This window comes from Homo sapiens, chromosome 1 (assembly GCF_000001405.40).
Source record: "Homo sapiens chromosome 1, GRCh38.p14 Primary Assembly".
Lineage (NCBI taxonomy): Eukaryota > Metazoa > Chordata > Mammalia > Primates > Hominidae > Homo > Homo sapiens.
In genome coordinates, this window is record NC_000001.11 from 2,636,779 (window position 1) to 2,651,260 (window position 14,482).

Here is a 14,482-nt window from a genome sequence, read left to right on the forward strand (position 1 = left end):
CCAGGCCTCTCTTGGCCATGCTACCTGCCGCAGGAGGTGGCCCACCCACTCAGCCTGCCTGGGCCACACCTGGCTGTTCACCAGCTCAGCCTGTGGCTGGGCTGGGCATGTTCCAGCCTGCTTGTGTTATAGCTTGTACCCATGTATGGCAGTTCCCAAGTTCTTGTCCCGTGTCCAAGAAGAATGAGGAGATGCTGCCAATCGAAGTGTGAGAAGGGCAGAGAAGAATTTTATTGAGAGACGGAACAGCTCTCAGCAGAGAGGGGATGCACGGGTGGTTCCCGACCTGAAGTCAGGTGGTTTCTCTCCTAGTGTGGCTGGGTCCGGGGCATTTATGGGCTCAGAATGGGGGAGTGCATGCTGATTGGCTTCTGATTATGCAAAAAAGGCTTAAACAAAGGTACCACTCAAAGGTGGGCATGCCAGTGTAGAAAATGAATTAGGAAAAGATAGGTACATGTAAAATAGGTGAAGGGTGGGGATCAATCAGAGGAAAGCAGCCAAATGGGAAGATGGGTTCTCAATCCAGGCTGAGGATTTAATTTGTAGCTTGGCTTTCAGGCTTTAAACTGTCTTTGGCTCGGAGGTGGGGTTTCACTGGGAACCTGTCCCTGTCTGCCTAGGATTTGTCTGCCTCCTGTCACTATCAAAAGGTGGGGTCCGGGGATTAGGTTAGTGTGGTTGTTGCTTGGGCTGGGCTGCAGGCCGATCTCCTGGCCAGTGGGAAGGGGAGGCTGTTGGCCCACAGTGTTGTTGGGGGAGCTTCACAGTTAACCAAGCCATCCCCCATGCTGGCTGTGAGGCACCAGCAGAATTGAGGGCCTCGGGAACCCACGTGCTGCTGTGTGAGGCTGTCACGGCCACGAGGATGACCACAACCACGAGGGCTGTGGGGGGTCCCCTGAGTGTCCAGCAGCACTAACAGGAAGGAACCACACGTTCAGGTCTCTAAACTCAGTTTAAGTCATAGACAGAGAATCAGGACTGCCATGGCCATGGAAGAGTCCCTTGTTCCTGAGAGCCTCGGGGCTGCTGCTGCTACAACTCGGATGCACAGTTTAACTCTGAGTTGTGTGACTGCTGTGTGGCTCACACTCACAGCCTCACTACTGAAACGTGGGCACTGAGTGGGAAGGAACTGGATGCTGAAGCTTGGCATGGGGATGTCTGGTTGGGCTCAGATGAAGCTGAGAATTGTGAACCCCCTGGTTCTCTGAGCCTCTCCTTCCAGGGGAAGCAGCTTGTCCTCCAAGATCTGAGAGTAGCCTTTATTTATTTTTTTTGTTCTGCTTGAAAATGCTGTGATAAGCTTACCTGGCCAGGTGCCTAGAAATGATGCTCATTTTATTTAACCACCATAGCCACCCTGTTGCCTCTAGAACCTCAGTGTACTCCCAGGGAGGGGAAGGGTCAAGTACAAAGCCTGACTCAGGAAGGAACCACTTTCACACCAAAATGCTCGTAAGATGTTACAAATTCACACACGGAGACCTGGGAACCGTGTGGGAATGGAGGGTAGGGTATTAATGCAGCTGGACCGGCTTGGCTTTATTGATGCAGGTACACTTACTAGAGATTCTGAATTTAATGCGCTAGCTCACATTAGCTGCTGGAAATGACTCTACCAGTTTACTTGGTTGAATGAAATCTGGATTTGCTGGCGGTCTACAGTTAATGAAGGGGAGATGCTGGAATGTCCCTGGTGTAACGTCGAGGCAGGAATCGTGCAAAGCAAGGGCCACCCTCCGTCCCAGCCTGATTTCTCTCCACCTCCAGCTGAGCACTGAGGAAGACGCAGGCCGGGGACTGCCCAGGGAAGTGGTGGATCTGCAGACAGCGTGAGCTCCTGGAGCGTCAGGACCCAGAGCAGCTGTGGACATGCCCCTCCAGGCGGGACACCCAGGCCTCAGGGACGAGTGCGTCCATGCCTTAAGGGCTGCTGGTTGTGGGTGTCTGCTTGGTCCTGGAGAAACTACCTCAGGAAAAGCCAGGGCTGGACCCCAGCAGGGATGGGATAAGGGGAACCGAGACTCACCCACTGTGCTCAGGGCAGAGGTGGTGGGCCGCGGGAACGGGCATGTCTTTGTCTATCTGGACTGCCCCAACAGAATAGCAGAGACAGGTGGTTCATCAACAGATACTTATTTCTCACAGTTCTGGAGGCTGGAAGCCCAAGATGAAGGTGCCAGCTCGCTCTCTAGTGAGGATCCCTTCCTGGTTCACAGACAGCTTCTCACTGGGTCTCCACATGGTGGAGGGGCTTGGGAGAACTCTGGGGTCTCTTTTATAAGGACACTAATCCCACTCATGAGGTTCCACCCCTGGTCATCTCCCAAAAGCCCCACTTCTGATACCATAACCTTGGGGGTTAGGATCGCAACACATAAAGTTTGGGGGAATGCAGACATTCAGAGCCCAGCAAGGAGCCAGGCCAAAGGCTGATGAGAGATACCTGCTGGGTGAGCTGGTGGTAGAGGGGGCAGCCCCCTGGTGGGGGAGAAACACAGCGATCCTGAGGTCCAGGAGGAGCCTCAGCGGGGCTGGCATCTACACTCAGCCTTGCACGGATGGATGGGGCAGGACATCCCAGGCGAGGAGGACGGTAGGAGCAGGGAACGTGGTGGGGAAGGGCACCCCTAGGGGACGCCTCCCCACTGCCTCCACCTGGCCCCGACATTGGAGCAGGCCCTTCTGCTGTGACCAGGCTCTCTGGACCAGCCCTTGCCTCCTCTGCCTCAGTGCCGACTGGCCCACCTGACCCGAGGAACTTGCGTGTCCCTGAACTTAGCTCTTGGGCTGCTGACAGGTGTTTGTTGAGTCCTTGAGCACACGGGTGAAGACAGGGAGGGAAGGGTGGATGGGGAGCTGGCAGGCGGAAGATGGATCAAATTGGTGCCTGCGCTGGGGAACCCCGGAAGAGGGGGACTGCGTGAAGATTCCGAGCGGGGAAGGCGAGGAGCGGGGCTGAAGGTCCCTGTCAGGGCCCTCTCCCACTGTGGGCTGCCCATCCCCGAGGTACTCAAGGTGGGAGGCACTGACCCTTTACCCAGACCCCTGTGGCCAGAGACACATAGGCGGTGCCAGCTGATGAAGGTGCATGGGGGTTGAGGAGTGGGTGAGGCCTGAGGAGGAGGGGGGCTACCCAGCCCTGCACCTGCCGCCTGGGGGCCCCACTTCCATGCAGGGCGAGGAATAGGGCCCCTCCCTGCCTGACCCCCTGGACTGGGGTTCGTCAGATGATCCCAGAAGCGAAGTGGGTGGAGAGGCAGGGGGTCTATCTGTGGGTTCAAGACCATGGAAGGAAGCGGCAGAGAAGGGGACAGAAATGGGACAAATGCAAGTGCCCAGGAGGAGAGAGAAGCCAGGAGGGGGGGTCGTGGCCCTGTCTCCCCAGGGTGAAGTCAGGCAGGGCTTGGGGGCACGTTTTGCACCGAGTCAGCTCACCCAGCATGTCTCTCGCCCATGGCCATGAGAGAAAGCCCCGGGCTGAGGCCTCAGTCTGTGACACTCACAGTGATGGGCAAAGGCTGGCTGCCTCTGCCCCACCCAGAAGTCCCCAAGCTCACTGGCAGCTGCAAGGCCTGGGGACATTTAACGCACGTATAAGAACAAGCTGTTCTCTCGCTCTGTGGAAGCACTGATACCTCCCAGCAGCTTCGGGAGACAGGTCTGGTGGGAGCCTGGGGACTGTGCTCATCAGGGCCCCTCGGTGGTCCCTCTGCTTGGAAGGGAGGGGCCTGTGGAGGAGGGAGGAAGTTTACCCCCAGCACACTGGATTCTCGATGAAGGGCCCCCATGAAAGCACCCTGAAAGGTCAGCTTGGGGTATGGGCTGGCTGGGCCCATTTGGGAGCTCTGTCTCTGGAGAGGGCTCAGGCTCTACTGGAGGCTGGCCCAAGGCTCAGGGTCCAAGCAAAACGCAGCTTCACACCCAGGGAGGGGCTTCTGGGGCTGGTACCATCTCCCCAAGGGCCCCAGGAGTCTGGCCTCAAACCTGTCCAACCTGTAGGATCCCAGGCCAGGGACGAGACCTGGGGCTGCTTCTTCAAGGTCTGAGCCCCAGGTGTGGGCCAAGAGGGCCCCAACTGCAGGGACCAGGTTGCTGGTGGTAGAAGGGACTGTGAAGCTTCTAGGATGGTCCCTTCATGCAAGTAGGAAGCTGTCCCCTGTCCTTCCCAAGGCAGAGGTGTGAGGCTGGCTGTCCAACACTGACTCATGCTGGGGCAGGGAAGCGGGGTGTGGGGAGGGCAGGGAAGGGGGGTGTGGGGAGGGCTGGGAAGGGAGGTATGGGGAGGGCTGGGAAGGGAGGTATGGGGAGGGCTGGGAAGGTGGTGTGGGGAGGGCTGGGAAGGGGGAGGGCTGGGAAGGGGTGTGTGGGGAGGGTGGGAAGGGGGGCTGTGGGGAGGGTTGGGAAGGGGGGTTGTGGGGAGGGTTGGGAAGGGGTGTGTGGGGAGGGCTGGGAAGGGGGTGTGGAGAGGGCAGGGCAGGTACCTCCCCGATTTAGGGAGCTGGGTACACCCCTGGGCCTGGACATCAGGTGCAGATGCTAGGGTGGCCCCGTGATTAGGGCTGGGAGAGGGTCAGGCCCAGTCACTGTAGCCAGCAGCCTGAGGATGCCTCCCTCCGGATTCTGGCCTTCAGTCTCTTCAGGCCACGGTGGTCGGGGTCCACCAGGAGGCCGCTCTCTACCGCCGTCCAGGCCTCTGCGTGACGCTGCTCCTCCAGGCAGCACTGCCCGCGGAGAAGGAACATGCGTGCAGTGGGGGCCCGGCCTGGCTGCCTGCACAGGCTGTTCTGGGCCAAGGAGGGCGCCAGCTTCAGGGCCTGGGCAAAGGCCCCTGCGGCCGCCGCCTCATCCCCCAGGCTCAGCAGCAGGCGACCCTGACGGCAGAAGTCCTCTGCCCGCCTTGGGAGGTCACCATCCCCCAGCGCCTCCTGGAGCACATGGTCCAGGTCCCTAAGGGCCCGGCCAAACTCCTGCAACTCGGCCAGGCAGGTGGCCCGCAGACGCAGGTGACAGGCACTGCTGCCACTGGCCAGGACAGACAGCGAACAGTAGCCCAGCGCCTGCCTGGGTTGCCCTGCGTCCAGGAGGGTGCCGGCTTCCTGGGCCGCCGCCTGCACAGAGGACACAGAGAGAGGCAGGGAGAGTGGGGTCAGCCCCAAAAGCCCGGCCGCCCCTGCCCTGCAGAGGTCCTCTGCACAGCCAGCTTCTGCTGGCTCCCTGGGGATGGCGGGGCCCTGGGCTGCACAGGAGCTGCCCGCTGCTTCTGGAGGGGCTGGCTGACCATGGGCAAGGGCAGGAAGGGGGACCCAGGGTAGAGGACCCCTCCCTGCAATTCCCACTGCCCTGGAACCTGCCAAAGTGCTGTTCCGACCCTTGGCCCAAGGCCTGGCATCCTTGCCCACTGCTCTTCTCCCTGGGCCTCGGATCAGGGACCTGGATTTACCTCCTCATGGTCCCCTCCTGGCAGCCCTACCGCCCCACCGGCTGGGCCCAGGTTCCCTTGACTGGGTGACCACACCGGCCTCCTCCCTCGGTCCCTCTGGGCCAAGTCACCTCTCCATCGGGCCCTCTGAGGGGGCTGCTGCCCAGCCCTTCCACTCTGCCCACCTTCTGAAGGCTGCTCCAGGCCTCTGAGCACGTGCACCCTAGCCCCTCTCCCTGGGGCTGCTGGACGGAGGGCACAGCCTGTGCTGTGGGCTGCTGCTGGCCAGGCCTGCCTGCCCCCCCCACTCCTCCCGGGCACTTTCCTGAGCCCACCCAGGCCCAATCGCCTCATCTCTGACCCAGTTTTTTCACAGAGTCAACCACGACCAGAAATCCGCTCGCCTCGCTGGGCTCCTCCTCCGCTCAAGAATCTGCAGGGGTTCCCCGCTGCCTGAGGAACACGCCAAGGTGCAGGCCCCGCCTTTCTCGCTGGCGCTGCCTCTCTTCCAGCAGCCCGGCGGTCCTCGACGCTACCTCCCCCGGGGGGCGCAGCGCACCCAGGACCCCGCCAGGCTTGGCCGCACGGGGCGAAGCCGAGGCCCACGCCCGGGGTCCGTGCAGGGAGCGAGGGGGTCCCACGGCCCCGGCTTTGCTGCTGGGCTCCCGCAGGGCACAGTGTGGCCTCTTCTGCCAGCTGTGAGCGGCGCTGAGCAGGGCAGGGGCTCGAAACCCCGTCCCTCGCCTGCGGTGCGGCCCGCGGGACCGCCCCTCTCCGGGCGGAGGCACCTGACCCCGACCCGTAGTTCACGGCCCGGGGTGGTAGTGAAGCCTCGGCCCGCGCAGGACCCGCACATTTGGGCCGGGTCCATGGCAGCAGGAGGGCGAGGCCCCGAGCAGCTGTCGGACCCCGGGAGCCCCCAGGCCGCCCCAGTGGGGAAGGGCGCTCAATCCGACCCCAGACTCCCCTGAGCCCGCGGCTCGGGCCGCGCAGGCGCAGTGCCACCCGGAGGGGGCCGCCTGCCGAGGGGCGGGGCGCAGGAAGCGGGGCGAAACCACTGTTGGCTCATTTCCGGGTGGGTCCCCGTCTCCAGGCAACCATTTCGCGTCCTGCAGATTCTTGCCTGTGCCGGGAGCCGCCTCCTGGCGCCGCAGCCCAGCCGTATTCTGCAGCCTCGGAGACCCGCGTCCAGCCCCGCCTCCGGGCTCGGTGACCCCCGTTCAGGAGACCCCATCTAGCCGCCTCCTCTGGGCTCCGGGACCATGGCCCCAGCCAGGCTTCCCGCCCCCTGCCAGGCCCTGCTCCCACCTCGAAGACCCCAGCACAGACCCCTCCTCCTGGCTTGGAAACGCCCAGTCCCTCTGGGAGCTCTGAGACCCCACCCCGCCCAGCCCGGCCGCCTCCTCTAGGTCCCGATAACCCAATCTCAGCGTTGCTCTTCAGCTCGGGGGGGGCAGCGGCGCCCCCTCTGCAGCACCGAACTGCCCCTTACACTGGTGTAGCCCCGACTCCGCCATGAGCTCCCTGTTCTTCCTAGTGTGGTTTCTGTTTTCCTAAGTGGCCCCGGAGTGCTAGAACCCGCTGGTGTCAGGAAGCATTAAGGAGGTGAAATCCTGCCCAGGCCCCACTGGGGTGTAGTTCTGCCTCTGGGACCCCAAAGCCTGCTGTGCTCTTGGCCTCCCAGCCTGCCTTGTCCCCACGTGCCTTCTCCCGGCCTGCCATGGGTTTGGGGTGGGCTTCCTGCCGGGCAAGGTGCCCCTGGCTGGCTCAGTCTGGCCCTGAGGGCAAGGTCCTCTTCCCTCTCTTGCACCCAAGTCACCTGTGGCTTATACTTCCCATACAAAGAGGCTGAGAGGTCGGTGGGGTTGTAGGGCTAAGGTGGCCAGAGACCGTCTTCCTGGGCCAGAAGTGGGTGCCTCCCACCCCACCCCAAACCTAACTGAAATCAACCCAACCGCAGAGAGTGAAGAAAGGCTGCCCCAGTGGTGGGCCCGGGGGTCTCATGCCTGTGTGCTGGGGAAGGTTGGGGTGGGAGATCTGTGGGGTTCTTTGGGCACCTGGGCAAGGCTCTGCCGCTCCGAGGCCTCCAGGAGATGCAGCAGGCAGCTGAGATCCGGGGCATCCACCTCGGCCAGGCTCTGCAGGTCCCTTGCAGCCCCTGGCACGTCTCCCTTCTTGAGCTGGAGCAGGCCCAGCCGGGCCCGGGCTGCCTCTGACGTTGGGGCACGGTGCAGGGCTTTTTCCAGGTGGGTGCCAGCTTCCTCGTAGCTGCCTGTCAGGGATTCAGGAGGGACAGTCAGTGTGTGGGGTTGGGCAGAGGTGCGAGAGAGCTGAGACTCGCTGGCCGCTCCTTCCCTGCCCTGTGCTGGCTTGCGGGGAGCTGATGATGGCTCAGCCCAGGAAGAAGGAGCTGGGAGCAGAGGTGCACCGTGATTCCAGGCAGGTCACAGGGACTCACCTCTGACCCCACTCCATGATGCTGAGCTACCACACCGTGGGCACTACAAGGGGCTGCTTTCTCTCCCGGGCAACTAGAGGCAAACTCTGGGCCTGCTGGCGCAGAGTGGCATGTGGGGAGCAGCCCTGGGGCCCCTGAAGCCCTTGGTGGGCAAATGCAGACTGCAGAGAGAGCTCCCCTTTGGAATTAGTGGTGAAGTGGTTTCCACATCACCAGGGGGATGTGGAAATCCGCGGGAAGGGCCTGCATGTCGGCCCATGGGGCTTCTGACAGTTCCTCCTGGAACAGGGCCTGCCATCCCGTGGGTGCCCGAGAAACAACGACTGGAGGTGCATGGATGAATGAGGGGGCTGAGGGTCCAAGACCTTTCAAAGACCAAGATCACCCCTCGGTTTCTCCTCCATTGCAAGCAAAGAGCCACCCGGGTAAAGCAGAGGAGAGCCTTTTGAACGCCAGGCCTCACACAGGGAGCAGGGCCAGAGGTCATGGGATTTGGGGTGGAAGGGACCTTGGAAGCTGTTGTGGTCCGGGTCTCTTTCTTCCATTTTTACAGAACAGGATACAGAGGTCAGAGGAGCGGGGACAGAAGCCCAGACCCCGTGTTTCCCACCTTGGGGCCGCCGCATACCCTGTGCCATGAGAATGTCTGCCAGGAGGAGGTGCCAGTGCGGTTGCCCTGAGTCGATTTTGATCAGCGCCTCCCCCACAGCAAGGAGGCCCTGGGTGTCCTTGTCCTCGAGAGGGGCCCCAGTGTCTGGCAGCTGGCTCAGAAGGGCCCGGCAGTGGGAGTAGAGGCCCTGTGTGATGAGGGCCTGGGCTTCCGGCTTCAGAGAGCGGAGCTCAGGGACCACAGTCCCGGGGCCGAGCTTCAGAGCAGAGACGATGTCGTCCACGGCTTCCTGCAAGGAGGGAGGGCGGGCGGGTGCAGAGTTGTCCTAAGTAGAGAAACTGGGCAGAGGGTCAGAGTAGGAGGACTGGCTCTGTCTTTCTCATTCCCTGATCTTCTCCCTGGGGTCCTAGAGGGTCTGAACACCCAGCTTCCTGCCCCTTCCTGCTTCTCTGTGGCTGCAGCCTCCTACCATCCCTCCTGATTCTGGTTAGCATTTGAGGGGACTCAGCTCACTGACCTTGACTCTGAAAGTTGTCAGGCTCAGAACCCCTTTTCTGAGGCCAAACGCTGCTAATTTCCATCTCCTGAGGCTGCCTGCGGTCTGTGAGCCCTCCCTGGGTCCCTCGCTCTCCCAGCTTGTAGCTGGCTCCCTCCACGCCTGTCCCTCCCCACAGGGGCATCTGTCACCTCACAGTGGGGGACGCTGGAGCTCCTTGGGTATCCGGGTGCTGCTCCCAGTGCCTGTGGTCTTGGGGACGCCGGAAGGGTAGAAAGCCCAGTTACTGCTCTCCCGTAACTCCCAGAAGCAGTGGAAGGAGGGTGCCCAGCCCATCTGGTGCACAATACCGCGCCTGGCCCTAACTATGCCTCTTTATATTATCTTTCTAGCAATTGCCTTGTGGATTACAATACGTAGCCTTACAGCTATGAACAAGCCCCCAGCTCCCAGGTGAGCACCCTACCACAGTCTATGTACAGTTAATATGGGGCCACTTTACCTAATATGTGAGATCCCCACAGCAGTAAATTCCATTATTCCCATACTTTGTGTTATCGTTGTCCTACACTGAGCGATGCATTTCCTCACATAGTGCATTATTTCAAGTGAATTAATTATATATATATTTTGAGACAGGGTCTCTGTCTGTTGCCCAGGCTGGAGTGCAGTGGCATGATCTTGGTTCACTGCAACCTTGAGCTCCTGGGCTTAAGTGATCCTCCCACTTCTGCCTCCGGAGTAGCTGGGACCACAGGCACATGCCACCACACCCAGCTCATTTTAAAATCTTTTTGTACAAATGGGGTCTTGATATATTGCCCAGGCTGGTATGGAACTTCTGGTCTCAAGCCATCCTCCCACCTTGGCCTCCCAAAGTACTGGCATTACAGGTGTGAGCTACCACACCTGGCCTGTTTTTAATTTAGATAGCTTTGTTCAAAGAAATTAAAAGAAGAAATAAATACATCATTTTGTATTTGCAGATGCTTTTCATTTCTTCCAGCAGAGAATTTCTATCAGGCATCAGTTCTCTTCAATTTCACCACCTTCCCTCAGGATCTGCTGTGGTGTCATTCACTGATGACGAATCTCTCAGCTTCCATTTGTCTAACGGGTCTTTAATGTCACCCTCGTTTCTGAAGGACATTTTAACAAGATGGATAATTCTGGCTTGGTACTTTTTTCTTTTAGTGCCTTAAAGGTGCTGTCCCATTGTCTTCTGGGTTCCATTGTTTCTGGGACAAATCTGCTGTCATTCGTGTTGTTGTATGTCATTTGTTCACCCCTCTGGTTGCTTTTAAGATGTTCTCTTTATCTTTTTTTTTCAGGAACTTGACCAAGATGTGCCTTCTTAGGGGTGGTTCTCTTTCTATTTTTCCTCTTGGGATTTGTTGAGCTTCTTGGGAATTTTTCTGCTGTTATTTCTTCAAATACCTGTGTATATTTGTCCCATTCATTCTCCGTATTCTCTGGGAGTCCAATCACATGTATGCTAGATGGCCTGAAATTGTCCCACCGGTCACTGAAGGTTTCTTCATTTATTTTTTTAATTTTTAAAAGTTTTTTAGAGGCCAGGTGCAGTGGCTCACGCCTGTAATCCCAGCATGTTGGGAGGCTGAGGTGGGCAGATCCAGAGGTCAGGAGATCGAGACCATCCTGGCCAACATGGTGAAACCCCGTCTCTACTAAAAATACAATAAAAATACAAAACTTAGCCAGGCATAGTGGTGGGTGCCTGTAGTCCCAGCTACTCAGGAGGCTAAGGCAGGAGAATTGGTTGATCCCAGGAGGTGGAGGTTGCGGTGAGCTGAGATTGTGGCACTGCACTCCAGCCTAGGTGACAGAGTGAGACTCCATCTCTTCTAGAAAATTTTTTTTTCTTTCTTTTATTTTGAGAGGGAGTCTCACTCTGTCGCCCAGGCTGGTCTCAAACTCCTGGGCTCAAGTGATGCTGCCACTTCGCCCTCCCAAAGTACTGGAATTACAGGTGTGAGCCATGATGCTCAGCTCAGCTCTCATCGTTTGAAACAGAGTTTTGTTTTTTGTTTTTTGTTTTCCCTGCTTTTCCTTAGATTGGATAATTTCCTTAGATTGGATAATTTTCTTTGGTCTATACTTGAGTTCACTAATCCTGCTTTGGCAGTTTCCAATCTGCTGTTGTGCCTGCCTAGTAAGTTTTTAATTCCAGATATGCTGCGTTTCAGATCTAGGATCTCCACTTGATTATTACTGTTTTTTTTTTTTCATATTCCTCTGCTAGGATTCTCCATCAAGCTCACTCATTCTAGCAAACATTTCTTTTACATGTTTATGTCACTGCTTTTAAAAGCCCCTGTGTGTAAATTCCAAACCTCTAAGCCATCTCAGGGTCTGTTTCTATGAAGTACTTCTTCTCTTATTACGGGTCCCATTTCCCTGGTTCTCTGTGTGCCTAGCAGTTCTTGGTTTTGCGCTGGGCTCTGTGTCTGGCATGTGGTAGACAGGGCTGTGGTGCTGTCCTGCAAGGGGGCTGATTTCACTCTGGGGGGCAGGTAGATTACTGGTGGATCATTTTGGCCCTGCCAGGCTTTATCTTGTACTTTGCTAGGGGAGGATTCGTTTTTGAACTTAGTCCTAAAGTACAATCTTAATTTTAGGGTGTGGCCTTTCTGGGGTCTCAACTGAATGCCCAAGATGTTCAGAAAAGCCTCTCTGCGGCCTCCTGTCTCTCAGGTCACAGCTCTTTGCTGCCTGTTGTTTGGTGCCTGGAAACATTTGCTCATGCATTATATCCAGTTTATACAGCTGTCAGGAGCCTGGAATGGCACCCACATCCCCAGGTGAGCATCTGACAGCCTGGAACAGCACCCCACACCCCAGGGGAGCATCTTACAGCCTGGAACAGCACCCCACACCCCAGGGGAGCATCTTACAGCCTGGAATAGAACCCCACACCCACAGGTGAGCATCTGACAGCCTGGAACAGCACCGCACACTCCCAGGTGAGCACAGGTGAACATCTGACAGCCTGGAATGGCACCCACACTCACAGGTGAGTGTGGGACAGACTGGAGCAGCATTCTCCAGCCCCAGGTGAACTTGCGACAATCCAAAACAGAACCCTACACACCCAGCTGAGCATCTGACAGCCAAGGATGGCACCCCACACACCTAGGGGAGCATCTTACAGCCTGGAACAGCACCCCACACCCCCAGGTGAGTATCTGACAGCCTGGGAATGCACCCCCACACCCAGTTGAGCATCTGAAACCCTATAGCACCACCCCCAACCAACAGGTGAAAATCTTACAGCCTGGAACGGCACCTTCCACCCCCAGGTGAGCATCTTCCAGCCTGAAACAGCACCCCACACCCCCAGGTGAGTGTCTTACAGCCTGGAACGGTATCCACACCCACAGATGAGTGTGTGACAGCCTAGAACAGCATTCTCCAACCCCAGGTGAGCTTGTGACAATCTGGAACAGGACCCCACAACCCCAGGTGAGCATCTGACAGCCTAAAACAGCACCCTCCACCCTTAGGTGATCATTTGACAGCCAGGAATGACAACCCACATAAGCATCTGACAGCCTAGAACGGCACCCCCCAGTTAGGTGAGAATCTGAATGCCTGGATCAACGCTCAAACCTTCAGGTGAGCACCTGACAGCCTGGAACAGCAGTGCCCATACCCAGGTGAGCATCTGAAACCCTCCAGCAGCACTCACCACCCCAAGGTGAGCATTTGACAGCCTGGAACAGCACCCTTCATGTTCAGGTGAGCATCTGATGGTTTTGTTTTATTTTGAGATGGAGTCTCTCTCTGTCGCCCAGGCTACAGGCCAGTGGTGCGATCTTGGCTCACTGCAACCACCGCCCCCAGGTTTAATCGATTCTCCTGCCTCAGCCTCCTGAGTAGCTGCGACTACAGGCTGATTTTTGTATTTTTAGTAGAGACGGGGTTTCACCATGTTGACCAGGCTGGTCTTGAACTCCTGGTGATCCACCCACCTCGGCCTCCCAAAGTGCTGGGATTACAAGCACGAGTCATCGCACCTGGCTGATCATCTGACAGTTTTAAATGGCACCTCACACCCTCAGGTGAGCATCTGACAGCCTGGAATGGCACTCTGCATCCCCAAGTGAGCTTCTGACAGCCTGGAATGGCACTCTGCATCCCCAGGTGAGCATCTGACAGCCTGGAATGGCACTCTGCATCCCCAAGTGAGCTTCTGACAGCCTGGAATGGCACTCTGCATCCCCAGGTGAGCATCTGACAGCCTGGAATGGCACTCTGCATCCCCAGGTGAGCCTCTGACAGCCTGGAATGGCACTCTGCATCCCCAGGTGAACATCTGACAGCCTGGAATGGTACTCTACACCCTCAGGTGAGCTTCTGACAGCCTGGAATGGCACTCTACACCCTCAGGTGAGCTTCTGACAGCCTGGAATGGCACTCTACACCCTCAGGTGAGCATCTGACAGCCTGGAATGGCACTCTACATCCCCAGGTGAGCTTCTGACAGCCTGGAATGGCACCCCACACCCTCAGGTGAGCATCTGACAGCCTGGAATGGCACTCTACACCCTCAGGTGAGCATCTGACAGCCTGGAATGGCACTCTACATCCCCAGGTGAGCATCTGACAGCCTGGAACAGCACCTCACACCCACAGGTGAGTGTGTGACAGCCTGGAACAGCATTCTCCAACCCCAGGTGAGCTTGTGACAATCTGGAACAGGACCCCACTACCCCAGGTGAGCATGTGATAGCCGAAAACAGCACCCTCCACCCCCAGGGGATCATCTGATAGCCAAGAATGGCACTACTACCCTGAGGTGAGAATCTGACAGCCTGGATCAGCACTTCGACCTTCAGGTGAGTGTCTGAGAGCCTGCAACAGCACCCCACACCCCCAGGTGAGCATCTGACAGTCGGGAACAGCACCTCACACCCACAGATGAGACTCTGACAACGTAGAATGTCACCCTGACCCCCAGGTGAGCATCTGAAACCCTGGATCAGCTCTCCCCCATGCAAGGTGAGCATCTGACAGCAGGAAACAGCACTTGACACCCCCAGGTGAGCCTCTGACAGCCTGAAACCAGACCCACACCACAGGTGAGCAGCTGACAGGCTGCAACAGCACCCACACCCCCAGGTGAGCATCTGACAGCCCTAAATGACACCCCAACCCCCCAGGTGAGCATCACACCATCCAAATGGCACCCCAAACCCCCAATAAGCATCTGATAGCCTGAAACAGCACTCCACGCCTTCGGGGGGGCATCTGACAGCCTAGAACGGTATGTCACACCCCCAGGTAAGCATCAGAAAGCCTGGAACGGCACCCCAAACCCCCAGGTGAGCAACTTTGCAGCCTGGGACAGTACCCTCCAGCACCAGGTGAGCACTTCACAGCCTAAAACTGCACCTCACAGGCCAAGGTGAGCATCTGACTGCCTGGAACGGCACTCACACCCCGAGGTGAATGTGTGACAGCCTGAAA

General features: G+C 57.9%; 1 protein-coding gene across 1 annotated transcript in view, besides 1 other annotated feature; it reads right to left on the reverse strand.

The window, feature by feature from the left end:
- Positions 1 to 207: 207 nt before the first annotated feature.
- TTC34 (tetratricopeptide repeat domain 34) overlaps positions 208 to 14,482 on the reverse strand; it is a 164,708-nt gene continuing 150,433 nt past the window's right edge. Inside the window, exons 7-9 of the mRNA NM_001242672.3 lie at positions 8,515 to 8,785; positions 7,486 to 7,700; positions 208 to 5,117 (exon numbers count right to left, since the gene is read on the reverse strand). Of these exons, the coding sequence (NP_001229601.2) occupies positions 4,590 to 5,117; positions 7,486 to 7,700; positions 8,515 to 8,785 (1,014 nt within the window). The 3' untranslated portion in view covers positions 208 to 4,589. The remainder of the gene's footprint in view (positions 5,118 to 7,485; positions 7,701 to 8,514; positions 8,786 to 14,482) is intronic.
- Positions 1,259 to 1,459: a silencer, noted in NCBI's record as "peak16 fragment used in MPRA reporter construct". NCBI's record gives its function as "represses an SCP1 promoter by STARR-seq MPRAs in K562 erythroleukemia cells {active_cell/tissue: K562}" and the evidence as "EXISTENCE:reporter gene assay evidence [ECO:0000049][PMID:32103011]".